This window comes from Homo sapiens, chromosome Y (genome assembly GCF_000001405.40).
Source record: "Homo sapiens chromosome Y, GRCh38.p14 Primary Assembly".
Lineage (NCBI taxonomy): Eukaryota > Metazoa > Chordata > Mammalia > Primates > Hominidae > Homo > Homo sapiens.
The window spans coordinates 6,257,971-6,275,057 of record NC_000024.10 but is presented as its reverse complement, the minus strand read 5'-3'; the positions used below and the strand labels follow the sequence as shown (position 1 = coordinate 6,275,057).

Genomic DNA, 17,087 nt, shown 5'->3' with positions numbered 1-17,087 from the left:
AGCATTCTTTGTGGTTTTCATAAAATTAATAGTCTCAATGGAATATTTTGAGACTGAGAAAGTTCCATATATCATTGTAATGTACTTTCACTTTATTACTTGCTTGCATGTCATAAATGATGGAAATAAAAACATTTATATTTACAAATATGCAAAACATGGATTTTCATTTATGTTTTCTAGTGATACAAAGTTACCAATAATTTTATCTATATAGGAAAATTTTTACAAACCCAAAGTTCTTAACTTTCTTTTCTTTTGAAGTTTCATATTTCAGTCTAGGTATGAAATGGAATTTGCTGTTATCATTCTTTGATTTCATGTTATTGGTGAGTTTCTGACAGTGTTAGGAATGTATAGACTTTAAAGCTTGCTTTCTTCTTCTACTTCTTCATTTCCCTTTGGACCTGTATCTGTGATGTCTGCAGTAATGTGCATCATTATCTCACATATGGTTGCTGAAAGATACAAGCATAAATAGAATTCTTAGTTTCAGTGAATCTTTAGGAACAGACAATAACACTGAAAGATAATTATGGTATGGATGTAAGTAAGCAGTTTATCACAGAGGTACAATAAGGGCGAAAATAAATTTAAAAATACATGCCTCATCCAAAACATGAGGTAGTACAAATGAAAAATTTAATTTGGCATAAAGAACAGTTTAAAAGTTCTGATTATTTCTGGTGAGAGGAAGTATCTCTGAAACCATGAGAAAGTCCTTCAAAGCTGCATGTTGGATTTGCAGGTCAGGATGGAAAGCCTGGTTCTAGGGGAGGGTGCTAAGGTCCTGGTCAGTTTGAGGTCCTCCTGGGACTCAGGGGTGTCTCAGTGGGAGAGCTGGGAAGGGGAAACACATGCTTCACCCCAGCTAGCAGGCCACCTCAGCCCACCTAGATGAAATTGTCCCTTGACCATCTCTTTCTCCTTCTCAGACAGGCAGGTGGAAGAACTCAGCCATCCTGAGAACAAGTGGTAGGAAGAAATTTGCCTTTCATCACAACATTTACTTCTGCATTGAAGTGATCACTAAGGAGTATTGCATTGGCATCTGCAATGAGGAGCGCCTCCCCGCATGGTAGAGGGAGTGGTATGTGGGAAGCTGGGCCTGGCATGAGCCTTTCTGAATTCTCTCCCTCCAGGATACAGGGCAACTGGCTCCACTGCAGTCCAGTGGTTCTAGGGTCATGCAGGTGAAGGCCCCAGTTTCAGGCAGAGCACTGCCTAACTGAGCTTCTTCAGTTGGTTGATTTACTGTGACTGTCCAGGGTATGGCAGGATTGCTGAGGTGAGGCGGCTATGGGGGGTCATGAGAAATGACCCTGTTGGTCATTCTTTGGCATCGGAAGAACTGGCTTTGAACCAGAACCTGACCTGTGATGAACACTTTGCCCAGTCCCCCAGATCATCAGCCAGGGCCTGTGGCTCAATATTCTGCAGCACTATGCAAGGGAGTTAGGCCCTCAGAGAGAGAACAGAGAAGAGGCCAGGGAAGCAGCCCAGGGCTGGGGGTTGACAGGCCTGTGGGTCCTGGAGTTAGGACACACATAGAGAAGCCAAGGCTCAGGGAGGAGACTGCAGTAAACAAACTCAGGCCATCATGGGCTGGTGGAGAAAGGCCCATCAGGGAACTGTAGTACCCACATTTCATGATGGGGGAACCCTAATCCACTTAATAGGCATAAGTAGCTAAGGTCAATGGGTGGGAAGCCAGGATGAAGAGATAGCTGCCTCATCATCCCTTGCTAGCTCCTTCCCTGTCCTGAGGCTTGCTACTACCTGGGGTTCAGTTTGGGATCAACCAGGGCTCTCTCACCCTCCACACAGATGCCTACCTGAGGCCTCTCTAGGTCTGCGTCCTCCCAGAATGGCTCTCCCAGGCCTGCTACGTCCCGTTTGGATGACACCACGCTCCCCTGACATGCTTGGTCCCCTCCGCCATCCTCATTCACCCAGCAACTCCCCACCCCCCAAACAGGCAGGCCACTGCACAGGGAATCTGGAGGACCACACAGGGCTCACAGGGGAGGAAATGTGAAGAGATGGCAAAATGGAACGGGACCTTCTGTGTGTTTCCAGAAGGCAATCTGGCTGGACATTCAGGCCCACCTCAGTATTGGTGAGGACACCCAGTGTCTCTCGGCCCTGAGCATGTGCACACAAACACACACATTGTCTAAACGGCATTGACATCACTACTACCTGAGTCATCCTCAGATTCTATACAACCCCTGTAAAAATATCAATGACCCATTCTTCTTAGAAAAACCATCTGAGAATCCTAAATTTGCTATGAAATGGCAGAAGATCCTGAAAACCCAGAGCAATCCGGTAAAAAGCACAAAGCTGGAGCCACCACACTACCTAACTTCATGATATACTACTACAAAGCTTTGTGTACCAAAATACAATAGCACTGGCAGAAAAGCAGAGACTAGAGCTTAGGAAAAACAATAAAAGCCCACAACTAAGTCACTCCATTTGCAGCTCACAGCCTTTTCCCAAAGAAGCAAGAACGTCCAGTGCAAAATCAAGTATCTTCTATAAACTAGGTTGGGGAAATCTGAAGAGCCACATAAAGGATTTTACAGGTGGATTATTTATCAGCAAACTCCAGTGTCGCATCTGAAACAATAAAATTACCAGAAGAAATCACAAGGAAGAAGCTCCATGGCATCTGTGTGGGCCGTGATGGTCTCAAAGTGACTGCAAGAGCACAGTAAACACCATCAAAAACAGAGAATGGGGTTATATCAAACTAAAGTGCTTTGGCACACCACAGAAAACTAAACAGACGGAAGGGACATCCTACAGGATGGGAGAAATTATTGGATCACTATACATCTGTTAATGGGTGAATATTCACAGTACATAAGGAACTCCCAACAATCAATAGCATGAAAAGAAATGGATTAAGGATGTGAATATTCATCTGTGAAACTAAGACATACAGTTGCCCAGAAGACACACTAAAAAGCACTCATCATCCCTAATCCATCAGGAAAATGCAAATCAAAAACACAATGAGATTTCTTCTCACTTCAGTCAGAATACCTATTATCCAAAAGACAAAACAAACAAACAAACAAACAAAAAACCCTCATTTCTGGTGAGGATGAGGAGAAAAGGAAATCCTTGCGCACTTTTGGTGAGAATGTAATTTAGTGCAGGCATTACAAGAAGCTTTATGGCTTTTATTTAAGTATAGAGCCTTCAGAACTCTACAAGTAGAACCACCCATCATGTGATCCAGCAAATCAGAATACTGGGGCACACCCACAAGTACACAAATCAGTATGTTGAAGCAGTGTATGCACCCATGCAATTATTGCTGCACTCTTTACATTTTTGCTGTAGCCAAAACACGGAAGCAACCTGAGTGTCCCTCAATTGATAAGTGGATTAAAAAAATGGGGCAAAAACACATATGCACAATGGAAAAATGCACTGCAGTAATAAATAAGGAAATCCTGCCACTTGTGACAATACGTGTGAATCCGCTGAATGCGTGCATGCCATTTTCTTTAGTGACATAGGCCAGGTATCAGAAAGGCAAATAGCACGTGACCTCATTCTTATATGAAATCTGAAAAGCAGACCCCACAGAGGTAATGACTCCAATGGTTGGGGTGGTGTTTAGTGAAGAGGGTGCACTGAGGAGATGCTGGATCAAGAATACATATTTCTAGTTAGAAAGGAGGAATAGGTTAAAAACATTTTCTACAGCATGCTGATTATAACTAGTGATAACATATTCTTTCTCTAAAAAATTCTAAGACAGTGTCTTTCATGTTTTATCATCACAAAAATGCTAAGTATGTGAGGTCATGCATAGGTTGATTAGCTGGATGTATCCAATGCATAATGTATGTGATCTTTTGAACATCACCCTGTAAGTTATAAATATGTATCATTTCATATGACTATTTAAAAAATAAACATACAATTTTTAAAATGCCTTAAGAGAATAAATGTCAATAAAGTATTTTATTATAAAGCAGTGCTTTTCTTTTCTATCAAAGTCTTTTTCATGACACATGAAAGAATGCAACATCATTTGGTAAGTTAAAATATACACACACACACACACACACACACACACACACACGAACATCCCAGTGAATGTAGATGATCAACTGAAAGATTGAAATTACAGGTGCAGAATATAGTCCATAAATTGAAACCTTCACTGCATGTTTGAAAAGAAGACATGAGGAGGCAGAAGAAAAAAGCAAAAAACTCAAAGCCATGCCAGGGCCCTGGGTCACACCTGTAATCCCAGCACTTTGAGAGGCCGAGGTGGGAGGATTGCCTGCACTAAGGAGTTCCAGATGAGCCCGGGGCAACATGCGCCCACGTGTAAAAAGTAATTGATTAATTAATACGTAGCTGGGAGGGGTGACATGCACCTGTAGTGCCAGCTATGTGAGTCTGACTTGAGAGGATCACATGGGTGTGCGGTGTCCAGGCTGCAGTGGGCTGAGATCCTGAGGCTCCTCTCCAACCTAGGAGACAGAGTAAGACCTATTCTCAGGAAACAAACAAAAATGAGTCACATTAGGTAAATTAAAACTACGCAGTGTGAGGAGAATCAAAATAAACGAAACATCATTACAGCCTACACGATCCGATGAAAGAAACAAGCTTTCACATAATAACAGCCCCAGATGGGGAGAACAATGAGAAAGGGCAGAGAGATAACACACCAAACTCCCCAGATGAGTTAAAAGACATAAATGTAGAAAGAGTGCTTCTTTTGAACTCAAAGCCCTTAATGACAAGTGCAAGTGTCTTTTTCTGAATCCCTGACATGCATTCAGCTCACCTGAACCTCTTGGTGAAGTTCTCAGACCACAGTTTGCCCTTTCTATATGCTCTCATTTTGTAATTTCCTATCACTTATCTGTAGCAGGTCACAACAAATCATGATTCTTTGACATTGTTTGACACAATGAAGAACTCAGATATGAGTTCATTAAACAATAGTTTATGACGTCATGAATAAATTCTGTTTGCATGATGTTTGTTAAAATGATAATACAAAATAAAAACAGAGGGAAAAGAACATTTTCTTTGTTTCATCATTGCGCTTGTGTTTATGCAGCATGTATCTATGAACTATAGCTGCCTCCTGGAAAATGATCCAACAGAATCCCTTGAAATTTCTCCTTCCGCTTTGGAGACCACAGGCATAACCCGCTTTTTCACATTTCCACCTTTTGGATACAATGAGTGGGATGAGTGGGATCCGTGTGACCTTTGCCTTTGCTGTAATGTCTAGTTTTTTGTTTTTTGTTTTTTCTTTTTTTTTTTTAACTCTGTCATTGCTAGATCAGCCTAAAATAAACAGTTCATTATGGCTCACAAAAAGAACTCATCTCCTTCAGCGGATATTCTTTATAAGAGGAATTTCATCCAGACATGAAAACGATAATCTGATGCCACTGCCAACAGATTGAGAATTACAAACTAAATTCAGATCGAGAATAGGAAGACAGATGATACAGATGGAGAGACAGTGGTGGGGAAGGAAGGGAAGGAAGAAAGGAAGGGTGTGAAGGAAGGAAAGCAATGAAGAAAGGGAGAGAGAGTGATAGATGTTCAAAGACAGAGATACAAAGTCGAGCATGGTTGTAGAGATAGGCGTGTACAAATTACCATGGGCAGTGTGGAAACATATCAGACAGAGAGTGACATAGGTGGAGTCAGAGAATAGAGACAAACCCATACAGAGAAATAAATATACGCAAATACAGACACACGGTTGGTAGTTTAAACCTGTCTGATTTTCTGTGACTGGATCTGTTTTTCCTTTAGTTCTTGGGCATAAGACCATGTTGAGTACTGACGTCCTGCATACTATAGTAACTATGTAGGAGTTCTGCTGTATTAGGTAAAGTGTGATGCTCCATCATATTCCACTCACCATCTGGGAGTCCCCTAGAGAAACACAAACACGTGTCAAAATGTATTTCCTCTGAGCCATACTTCAAAATGTTTTAATTTTAGGGCCTGCTGAGAAAAGACTACCCCTTCCCCATTTGTGATCTCTTAAACTTCCTCCTACCAGGTGCTACAAACTGTTCCCTGCAATATTTTCCCCATTCCCAGTATTCACTGTGACAGGAGTCAGCTAACAAGATTCATTGTATACTAAAAGCACACAGAAATCTGATGGGGCAATAGCTTAACAAAATGCAATGACCTAAACAGTCTTCTGTGGTTTGTGGCAAGGACAACAAGGAGGCACATTCAGGGAGCCCCATCTTAAGGAGTTGGTAGGATGGCTGCTGGTGGGGTTGATGGCCATGGAATCAAGTGCCACAAATTGAAGTGAATGATTCAACTTTACTTCTCAGTGAGTCTGGACATAGACTATGCTTCCCCGGGCTTAAGACTCCACAGCTATAACCTGCTTTGCAGTGTGGTATCTAATGTGCCTTTTTCAGCCCAATGCCGTTAATGTCCTGGATTCTGTCACTCTCTGTCTTTCTCTCAAGGAATTTCTACATGTATGAAAGGAGCCTCAATTTCTACATTTCTGAAATGAGCATCCAGGCTCCCTGAACAGGCAGGTATGTCAACCCCCTTACCCTGGGCACCAAATAGCTCCAGTTCCAACTTAACGGCTCATCTGAAATCTCTGTTCCCTCTTCAGGTGGCTTCATCTTCATGTAGTATTGCAGGGGTTTGTGCCACAGTTCCGTACATAAGCTCTATCAGGGGAATCAATTGGGAAAGGCCTCATCAGGGCTCAGACTGGTGACCCAAGCAGCTGGGAACACACCAGGGTCATTCCTAATGTTTCCCAGTGAGGACTCGCCTCAGCAATCCTGTTAGATCCTGTGAAGTTGCGGTCAGCAAACCAGTTGAAGAAGTTAAGGCTGCTGTTGTGGTGTCCCCAGCGATAGGGCTCAACATCATAATCCTGATACTGCTGAATTGGAGTGGAATAAGCCCTGTATTCTACAAAGAGAGGGTTTTGTGGGAAGGGGCCTGGATCATGTTGGCAATGACCCACACATCATCTTCCTTCCACTACCCATCTGGGGTGCCACCTCTCACCTGTGATGTTCACGAGATATTCCTTGGTAATCACTTTATTCTGAAGTAGGGGTTACTCCAAAAGAACAACATGATCTTGCAGAGATGAATGGGATGCTTCACTTCTTTCATCTGTCAGGACAAGGTGGAGAAAGCTTAAATACCTTTTCGGGTGAGGTGCCCACTGTTGCTTACAGGAATGAATTATTTCCTTTACCCTCCCCTACTAAACCCTCTAGCCTCAGTCTTCCCAGCCTCACCTCCAGGCTGACCATGTAGCTCAGCATGTCTTCATCTTGGTCAGTGATCAGGGCTGACATCTGGGGGTGGTTTGCAATCTGATTTAGGTCAAAGAGGCTTTACATGTGATGGAAGGAGAAGCTAGGAGCAACAGGGAAGAAGGCCTAAGAGCGCCCAGAGTCTGGGGTAGGGGATTTCTCAGAACTGCTTCCATGTATGACCTCCTTTTGCCTCCCCCTCCCCCTAAATTAAGGTCTTTTGGGCTTGCAGAGAGTGTCTAATTCTGAGGCTGACTGCACTGACATGGGGAGGTGCGATTTGCAGAGAGTTGCTGGTGTCTGCGGAGTGGCAGAATCAGCTTATAGGCGAAGACGCCCAGTCCCAGATCTGACTAGCAAGGGGGAGTAATCACACTCCCTTAACAATACCTTCATTCACAGAAAAACGTATTCTGGTCTGAACTCACTTCTGCTCTTCAAATGATGCCCCAAACGTCTGCTGCTCGGCATCACCAAGGGTTTCTCTGCCGCATGCAGGAAAACAGTACCCACGCCTGCTCCGGCTTTCTACAGCCTCATTTGTCTGTGGTAACTCACCTTTGTTCTCCAAAGAGTCATATCGACGATGAGCTGCCCATCAGTTACTTACACTTCCCCAAGAGCACCTCTCAACTGGAAAGGCAGAAAAAACACTGAGAAGGATACAACATTGGCCCAGAAGCCAGGGACGCTCTGGATGACGGCGCCTCTGCGGCCTAGGTGGGGCTTGTGCCTCCATTCCATCTTTTCCCTCTGGCGAGAAAAGGCCTTCCTGGCTTGGGCATTAACCGGCTCCAGCTCCACCTGAACGGCCACCAGCTCCTCCAGGGCGGACTCTGGGGTTATGGGCCCAGGGCCAGGCTGTGGCTTCTGGGCCTCCTCCTGCCCCTCCACGAGGGCCTCCTCCTGGGCCACCACCTCCACCTCTGCCATTATGTCATCCAACAGCAGCACCGCCTCCTCCCCCAAAGCCGCCTGCTCACTCTCCACCCCGGCCGCCCCCTCCTGTACAGCCTCCATCCTGAAGGCGGTGCCCTCCTCGGCACTCGCACACACCAAGGCCTGTGCTGCCCGACCCACGCCACAGAAACCCTGCCGCAGCCTCTCTGGCACCCGGTAGGTCAGCGAGCCCTCAGGGCGCATGCGCCAGGCTTCCAGGCGCCCCCTAAGGGACTGCGCGCGAAGAGCCGGGGGGCCGCACCCAGGCCGACTTCCTCCCGTCGTGGCCAATCAATGGGAGGGCGGTGGGCGTCTCCCTGGGCGGCACAGCCACTGGCGGGCCTGCATCTCCAGCCCCCCCACCCCCCGCCTTCCCTGCCCAAGCCTCCTCTGAGAAGCCCTTGGAGCTTGTGCCGGGTAGCTAGGCGTCCGGGCACACACGGGCTGCGTGGCCTTTGGAATTGTGGGCATGGCAGCCCTGTGCCCTGACATCCTCAGTGTGGCAAGCCATGAACATCTCTATGTGTCATGAACACAGGAAACATCTCTCTTCGTTAGGCAGGCCAGGTAGATGGTACGGAGGTAATACAGCAGATGCAGAGAACTCTCTCTGGTTGCTGGGGCTAGGGCGGCAGGGGTGTCCTGGGGGAAGTGATCGGGGCGGGCACGTGGGAGGAAAGTCGCCTGCCGGTGCTGAGGTGGAATTGATCTGCTGTAGAGGCCAGAGCCCCGGCACACACTCTCACAGGTCGAGGCAAATAGAGGCTCCGAGTACCATGCTTCCTCCCTGAGGATGCTGTACTCCAAGGAGCATTCCAAAGGGCCTCTTGTCCTATGCCCTGGGCACACCAGAGGCCAGCCGCCAGGGTTGGCCATTGTCGGCCTGCGCGCACGCTGTTGTGCGCTGCCTTGACGACCCAGAGGCTCCCGCACCCGCAGCAGCGGTTGCGGTGCCTGTTGGTGGGGCTCTGCAAGCCCAGGGCCGGGGCTCTGGCTCCCGAGCTCCTGTGCGCAGTTGAGCCTGCTGGGGACCGGAGCCCTTTGGCCAGTGCGGGATCTGCGGGTCCAGCGGAGGTCCTCAGGAAACCTGGGTCCACGTAGGTGTGGGACCAGGTTCTCAGCAGGGCGACGCCCGTGGGTCTTGCAGGGAGCGGGTCTGCTGGGGAGCGGGCCCCCAGAGCCTACGGGTGCGGGGCATGGGCTGGGCTGGGCTGGGCTGCGCAGGCCCAGGGTCTGTGGGAGCACCCAGGAGAAAACCGTGTTCAGGCTGGAGGCAATGCTGGAGAGGACGGCCGGGGTACAGAGCAAGGAGGCGGCCTTGGAAGAGGAGGCGGTGCTGAAGGTGGAAGACATCATGGCTGAGGTGGAGGTGGTGGTTGAGGTGGAGCCCGACGTGGGGTGGCAGAAGGAGGGCCAGCGGGCACAGCCTGGCCCTGGACCGAGCACACCGGGGCCGTCAATGGACTCGCTGGAGGTCCTTCACTTGGAGCTGGGCTCCGTGAATGCCCCAGGCCACAGAGCATCTCCGCCTTGTGAGCCAGAGCCATATCCTTGCGGCTGCCGATTTGGGATGGCGGGCAGCAGGGGATAGTCATCGGGCCTCGGGGGGTATGGGGGCTGTTTGGGGGGAGGAGCCAGGTGGGAGGCGCGTGGGGTCAGCCAGGAGGCAGGGGATGGGGGACAGCGTGGGAGCCGAGGCCACGTTCCCGCAGCTGTGAGGGCAGCTCGCTTGTAGCAGCCCTGGGAGCACGTGGTAGGGAAGGGGAGCCAGGGCCAGCACTGACAAGGGAGAATCGCAGCGCCAAGGTCCCTTTGCGCACAGCCCAAATTCGAAGGACACGTTTCCCTGGGAACGTCCCTGGAGGACGGGGAATCTGTATGCCATTACCAGCCATTGAACCACCCCTGCTCTCGGTGCCTGTTTCCAGCAGGCTCACCCCAGAAACACAAGGTGCTTAAGACGGGTTCGCGGCGCATGGGGCTGCCGACCACCTGACGGCGGGCACCAGCTCCGCAGATGCGCATTCATCCAACTGCAGGCGCTGCACTCAAAGGCGTGTAGGCCCTGAGCCTGTATAACTTCCTCTGGACCCACGCAATTCCCTTGGAGAGCGCCAGGCACGACCCTGCTGTGGCTTCTAACTACAAGGCTTCCCTCAGGTGGACAGGCCCACCCCTCAGGGAGACTAGGATAAGAGGACACCACACACCCGGACATCAGCGGAGCATGTCCAGCACCCAGCACACAAAGGCCTCCTGCATCTCAGAAACCCAGAGAAGCAGCCGCCTCACACCACCCCCGGCCCCTCCCGTCCCTCAGCTGCAACCACCTGCCCACTTTTTCTGCGTCCCGTCTATGGTCAGCCCAGGCCGTCTTGGCCGGTGTCCACCCACTCCAAAAACCACCACAGTTGTGGCGTTGCCTCCTCGCCAGACAGAGATAGAGGGCCAACAATGAAGGGTGACTGGCCAAATGTCTGGGAGATGGCCCTGTTCCACATTGTCTGTGTTCTTGCGAAATTGCAAGGCGTCACGAGGCTTGCCCACCCAATCCTCTGGAGAGTTCTTGCGCAGAGGTAGATTGTTTGGCACACGAGATGTCGGCGTGGGTCGGAAAGCATGCGGAAGTCCTGCTTTGCTACGTGATGGATTTGCAGGTCAGGCTGGGGAGCCTGGGTCTGTGGGAGGAGTCCAGTGTCTGAGTCAGTTTGAGGTCCCCCTGGGGACCAGGGTTGTCTCAGTGGGAGAGCTGGGAAGGGGAAACTCATGGTTCACTACAGCTAGTAGGCCACCTCAGCCCAGCTAGCTGAGATGGTCCCATTGAATCCATCCTCTTTCTCCTTGATCTGGCAGGTGGAGGAACTCAGCCATCCCGGTTACCGGTGGCAGGATGATTTCCTTTCATCCCAACCTTTATTTCCACAGTGAAATCATCATGAAGGAGCACTGTGTTGGCATCCTCGGTAAGGAATGCCTGCCAGCATGGTAGGGGAGCTGGTGTGTGGGAGGGTGGGACTGGCATGAACCTTCCTGACTCCTCTCCCTGCAGGCTACAGGGTGTCTCATTCCACTGCAGTCCAGCGGTTCTGGGATCACGAAGGTCAAGCCTCCAGCTGCAGGCAGTACACCTCCTACCTGAGCTCATTCAGCTGTTTGGCTGAACATGACTGCCCGGGTTTTGGCAGGATTGCTGAGGTGGGGTTCGCCGTGGGGCATCATGGGAAAGGACCTAGCTGGTCATTCCTTGGTCTCTGGGGAATTGGCTTTAAACTGTCACCTGAACTGTCCTGGACCCACTTCTGCAGTCCCCTAGATCATCAGCCAGGGCCTATGGCTCAATCCATTGCAGTTCTATCCCATGGAGAGAGGGTCAGCCCTAGAGGCGGAACAGAGAGGAGGCCAGGCGAGCAGCCTAGGGCTGGGAAGGGCTGGGAACTGAGAGGCCTTTTGACCTGGATCTGGGCCCCACATGGAGAACCCAAGGATCCGGGAGGAGACTGCAGTGAGCAATCCCAGGCAATCCGTGGGTTGGGGGAGAGAGGCCCATCAGGGACATGTAACACCCACATTTCAGGATCGGGGCACCTTAAGCCACTATGATGCATATGTGGCTAAAGTCAGTGGGTGACAAGCAGGGCTTAAGGGATAGCTGTCTCATCATTACTCGCCAGCTCCCTGCCTGCGGTAAGACCTGCTACCACCTGGGGCTCATTTTGAGATCAACCAGGGCCCCCTTTTTCTCCACGAGGATGTCCACCTGAGGCCCACCTAGGTCTGTGTCCTTTCACAGTGTTTCTCCCAGGCCATTCATGTTTTGTTTCCATGACCCCGGCTGCCTTGACATGTGTAATCCTCTCTGCCATCCTCACTCCCGCTGCCCTGCCTTCCCATATAAGTTAGTCCACCTCACACGGAATCTGGAGGACCACACTGGGCTCCAGTGTGAGGCAATGTTTTATTTTCTTCAGGTACATGTATTTTAGGGCTACCTTCAGGGCTGGGAATGTGAAGAGATTGCCAAATGGCTGGGGACCTTCAGTGTGTGTCCAGGGAGGGAACCTGGCTGGGAATTAAGGCCCACCTGAGTAATGGTATGGACATCCAGTGTCAGTTATCTTGATAAAGGCCTGCTTTCTTACATCACCTACTATTAGTATAAAAGTTAATTCCTTAGAATATTGAAAAAACAAATCTATGTATGAAGAAATATAATTTGTTCATAATTGTATGGAAAAAGCTGCCGACTGATCCATTTTCCATTACAATTCTTATGGGAGACTTGAAGGGTTTAGCAAGTTTTAAGATGCATTTCTATTCGTCTACTCCTGCCAGTTTTTATGATCATTTTTGTAATACAAGGACATGGCCTCTGGAAAGTTTTTGAGGGACTTTCAGCTTCTTTTAGGGTAGATAGTTGTAAATTTTGAATTGTTTTCCCCTGCGGTTCTTTTGAGGTTACTCTTTGTACTTTCTTTGGGGGGTGTTAAATTTGTTTTCTTGTTTCGCCCTTGTGGAACTTTCGTTTTCAAGGAATTTTGTGTGTGTGCGTGTGTGTGTGTGTGTGTGTGTGTGTGTGTTAGATATGGGAGTTAGCCTGTGAGCATGTTTTCGAATACGGATTTTTTTTTTACTTATCAATTTTGGGTGTGTGTGTGTGTGTGTGTGTGTGTGTGTGTGTGTTTGTTTCTTTTCAGTTGGAGTCTCACTGTGTCATCCAGGCTGCAGTCAAGTGGCAAACTCTCAGATCACTGCAACCTCTCCCTCCAGCTTCAAAGGATTCCTCTGCCTGCTGATGCTGTTTTTCCCCCACATGAGGAGAACCTGCAGACAGTTATAAAAAATTCTGTGCCTGGGTAGGTATGAAAATATAATTTCAATGAATGGTAAATTTCACAAATACAGTTTCACATTTGTATTTTGCATCATTTTGAAAATTTTAGTTGCTGACACATGAAATTCTGTATTGACTTTCATGTTAAATGTACACTTTTGAATCAATTTCAACAGTGACAACTAGCGAAGGCCAAGCGTTAGTTCAGGAAGCTGAAAGCAGTCGTTCTGTAAAAAAAAAACCATATTTATTGAAGGTATATTTAGAGAGATTTTAGAAGGCTTCAGTCAATATTTTTGTTTCTGTTGCTCTGGTGTTTTATCATACAGGGACCAGACTGTAGCATCAGTAGCTATAGTTACAAGGCTACCAAAGACTCAGTGCTATAGAAATTATTATTGTGGAAATTGGCAGCCTGGCTGTCTGTTTGAGGAGACTAGAGGACTTAGGAGTTTCCACCCAAAGTACAAGGGCCTGGTTTAGTGGGTGGCCTTCTTTTGCTGAAGTAGATAAGATCCAGGAGAAGGGTGGATTCACTGTAGTAGCCAGGGCTTTGAGACTGGTAAAGCTTATTTGTCCCCTAGTGCCATTGCCAGATATTGGTCTGTGCATAAAGGCACTTCCTGGACTCACTGACGCCTGTAAATTCAAATGTAGAATTTAGATTTAAATCCCTATTCCAACTTCTTAAACTTAGATCTAATAGGTGGGTAATAAAATATGTATTCAGAAGAAAGGGAGACGTCAGGTAGGTATATAAGCAAATCATCCTGGTCAAATACCTTCAAAAATATTACTACAAAAAATTACTGAAGATTAAACCTTAAAAAGTTATTTTAATTGGAGAAACAGAAAAAGGTTGGAGTCATTTTAAACCCTGAGGTGTAAAGGTACTGTTATTAGATTACAGGAATTATATACAATGAATAATTTGTTGGAAGAGCAGCATACTATCTCTTTAGTATGGCTAGAGATTCATAAGCCGTGTAAGAAAACTCAGAGATTGAGAAGAAAATGTTTTCAGGGATTTTGTTCTGTTATGAAAGACTTTTAAAATGGTTTCCTACTGATCAATGATTCACTTATATTTATCACTGAGGCATATGCTATATACCCTTCTATATAGGGATGAAGTTATAGTTTCTATCATGTAGATACAAAAACATGTGACTCTGTACCACATTTGCATTAGAGCCTTTGGCATGATTAATGAAGCAAACAGTGGAACTGTCTACGTCAGGTTACAGGTGGGCACAGCTGGAAGCTTCTGTCCCTTGCACTTTAACATTTCTGCATTCTCATCTGTCTCTCCTGGAAAGAAAACGGACTATAACTATCCTAAAGGACATATGTTACATGAAGACACTAAGTATTGAGATAAGACCATGAGTTGTCTTATCAGTGTCTTGGCATTACATTTATATGTATAACTTATACAAAAAATCCAGTTTATTTTATCACGATTACATATTACATCCCACATTTATGTATTTTATTATCTTTCCAGTGACTGTTTTGTTTTGTTTTGTTTTGTTTTGTTTTGAAATCTCGTTCCACTCTGTCACTCAGTCTGGAATGCAGTGGCCTGATCTCAGCTCATTGCAACCTCCATCTCTTGGGTTCAAGGATTTTAAAAATTAGTAAAGAATTTTCAATTGAGTTAGCAGAAGTAAAAATAAACTTAAGTGGAAATAGAACAACAAAATTGTAAACACTATTTCTCAGCAATTCATAGATTATCATACTAGGAATTGAAATGTACTTAGAACTCAATGATACCGCCAATATTAAAGATTAAATCTGTGAGTAGCAAGAAAAGTGATATTACAATAGGAGTTTACAGACAAATATTTCTCTAATAACTTGAAAATTAATGTACTAGATATTTCAATAAAGAATTAGAAAAGAAACAACAGAATCAATTCTGAAAAACTAAAGTGTGGGAATAATGATGTAGACAAAATTAGTAAAACATACAAAGCTAACCTTTGCTTGTTGGAGAAATATAATAAATGATGCAACCGTCAGTCAAGTTTAGAAAAAAAGGGAGAAAACATAGATAAAACTAAGAATTTAAAAGGTACACAACCATAGATACAGCATAGATTAAGAAGCTAATAAGGAAATATCATTAACACCTTAACCTACAAATTTGAAAACTTAGATCAAATAGACAGATATTTATAATCTGTCTATATATATAGACATATATATCGCTTTCTATATATATTTTCATATTTATACATAATTTTTATATTTGTATCTTACATTTATATATATAATATATAAACATAAGCTATGTATATAGCTTAGTAAAATTGATACAAGAAGACATATATAATCTGTATAGTCTCATAAATGTTCAAGGAAATAAAGGATTCTTCCTAGAGATAAAACGCTAGGCTCAGATTTTTTTCCCCAGGCAGAGCATTTCAATATATATGAAGAATTCTATAGAATAAAAAAGGGAAAATCCTAAACTCATTGTGTGAAGCAAGCAGAACTTTGACGCCAACAAGACATAAACTGAGTGTAGAAAAAGATATGAAAATTAAGGCCATTCTCATTCCTGAAGCAAATCGTAAAATCCCAAATGTAACAAGATTTATGTGGATTCTTTGAGGGTTAGAAGGAAATTTCCTTCTGCCAGATCCTGCTGCTCTGGGACAACCCACACACAAATTTATGTTTTGAGATTTTCTGTAATACCCATGCAATATGGAACTGGCTTGACAATCTGTGTGATAGCCAGCCTGTGGCCATGACTTCTCAGGGACACAAATCTTTTCTGTTTGCCTCCTTGTTCTGCTCAGCTCCAAGAGAACTTTGACCAAAGTTCCTTGAGCTTGGAAATAGGAATGGGTTTGCTTCTGTTTCACCCTTACTGTGAAGATACAGTCCGGTGGAATCCAGATCCACTGGGAGAGAGTCGGCTATTAAACTCTTTTCATGAGTAGTCCCTAGGCCTTGACTGGAGTCTTTCTTGAGATATGAGGCTAATAGTTCCTTCTTGGTCCACCACTTTTTGATATAATTAATGCTTCTTCTATTGGGAATTTTTAATTGTTTGGGAAGTGACATGGTTTGGTGTGTCTCCATTCAAATCTCAGCTTCAATTGTATCTCCCAGAATTCCCTCGTGTTGCGGGTGGGACCCAGGGGGAGGTAATTGAATCATGGGGGTCGGTCTTTCTCATGCTATTCTTGTGACAGTGAAGAAGTCTCACGGGATCTGATGGGTTTTTCAGGGGTTTCTGCCTCAGGTTCTTCCTCATTCTCTCTTGGCATTGCCATGTAAGAAGTGCCTTTATTCGTATACCATGATTCTGAGGCCTCCACAGCCATGTGGAACTGTCAGTCCAATTAAACCTCCTTTTATTCCCAGTTTCAGGTATGTCTTCTTCAGCAGCGTGAAAATGAACTAAGACAGGAGGTTTGGTCCAAATAACCTTGGCTTCCATGATAGAAGATAGAAGTTGCTGAAATGTTTAATCTTTTCTGTGGCAACCTTTTGCAGTGGGTCTTATTTTTCTCATTTTTTTTTTCTTGTTCTCTTCACCTTTCTTTCTCACAGGGTACTCTCGCTCTGTAGACCAGGCTGGAGCGCAGTGGCAGGATCTCAGCTCAACACATCCTCCGCCTCCCAGGTTCAGCCTCTGCAGTAGCTGGGATTACAAGCATGCATCACCACGCTCAGCTAATGTTTTGTATTTTTAGTAGAAGCCAGGCTTCACCATGTTGGCCAGGCTGCTCTCCTACTACAGATCTCAGGTGACCCGCCCGACTCAGCTTCCCAAAATCCAGAGTGCTGGGAATACAGGTGTGAGCCACCGAGCCCAGCCAACTCCAGTATTTTTTACCTAAGCCAGTGGACGAGTGGAGTTGCCTTTATTTTTTTTTTTCTTTTTTCAGTCATGGTCTCGCTGTGTCATCCAGGCTGGAGTGCAGTAGTCTGATCTTGGCTTACTATACAATCTCTGCCACCCATGTTCAGGT

General features: G+C 46.2%; 1 long non-coding RNA gene and 1 pseudogene across 1 annotated transcript; one reads left to right on the top strand and one right to left on the bottom strand.

The window, feature by feature from the left end:
• TSPY11P (testis specific protein Y-linked 11, pseudogene) lies at positions 5,783-8,511 on the bottom strand (annotated as a pseudogene).
• Positions 11,123-16,725, top strand: FAM197Y9 (family with sequence similarity 197 Y-linked member 9). The gene is made up of 4 exons (NR_145462.1): positions 11,123-11,224; positions 11,311-11,456; positions 12,956-13,114; positions 16,666-16,725. It is a non-coding gene; the product is annotated as a family with sequence similarity 197 Y-linked member 9 (long non-coding RNA).
• Positions 16,726-17,087: the final 362 nt, after the last annotated feature.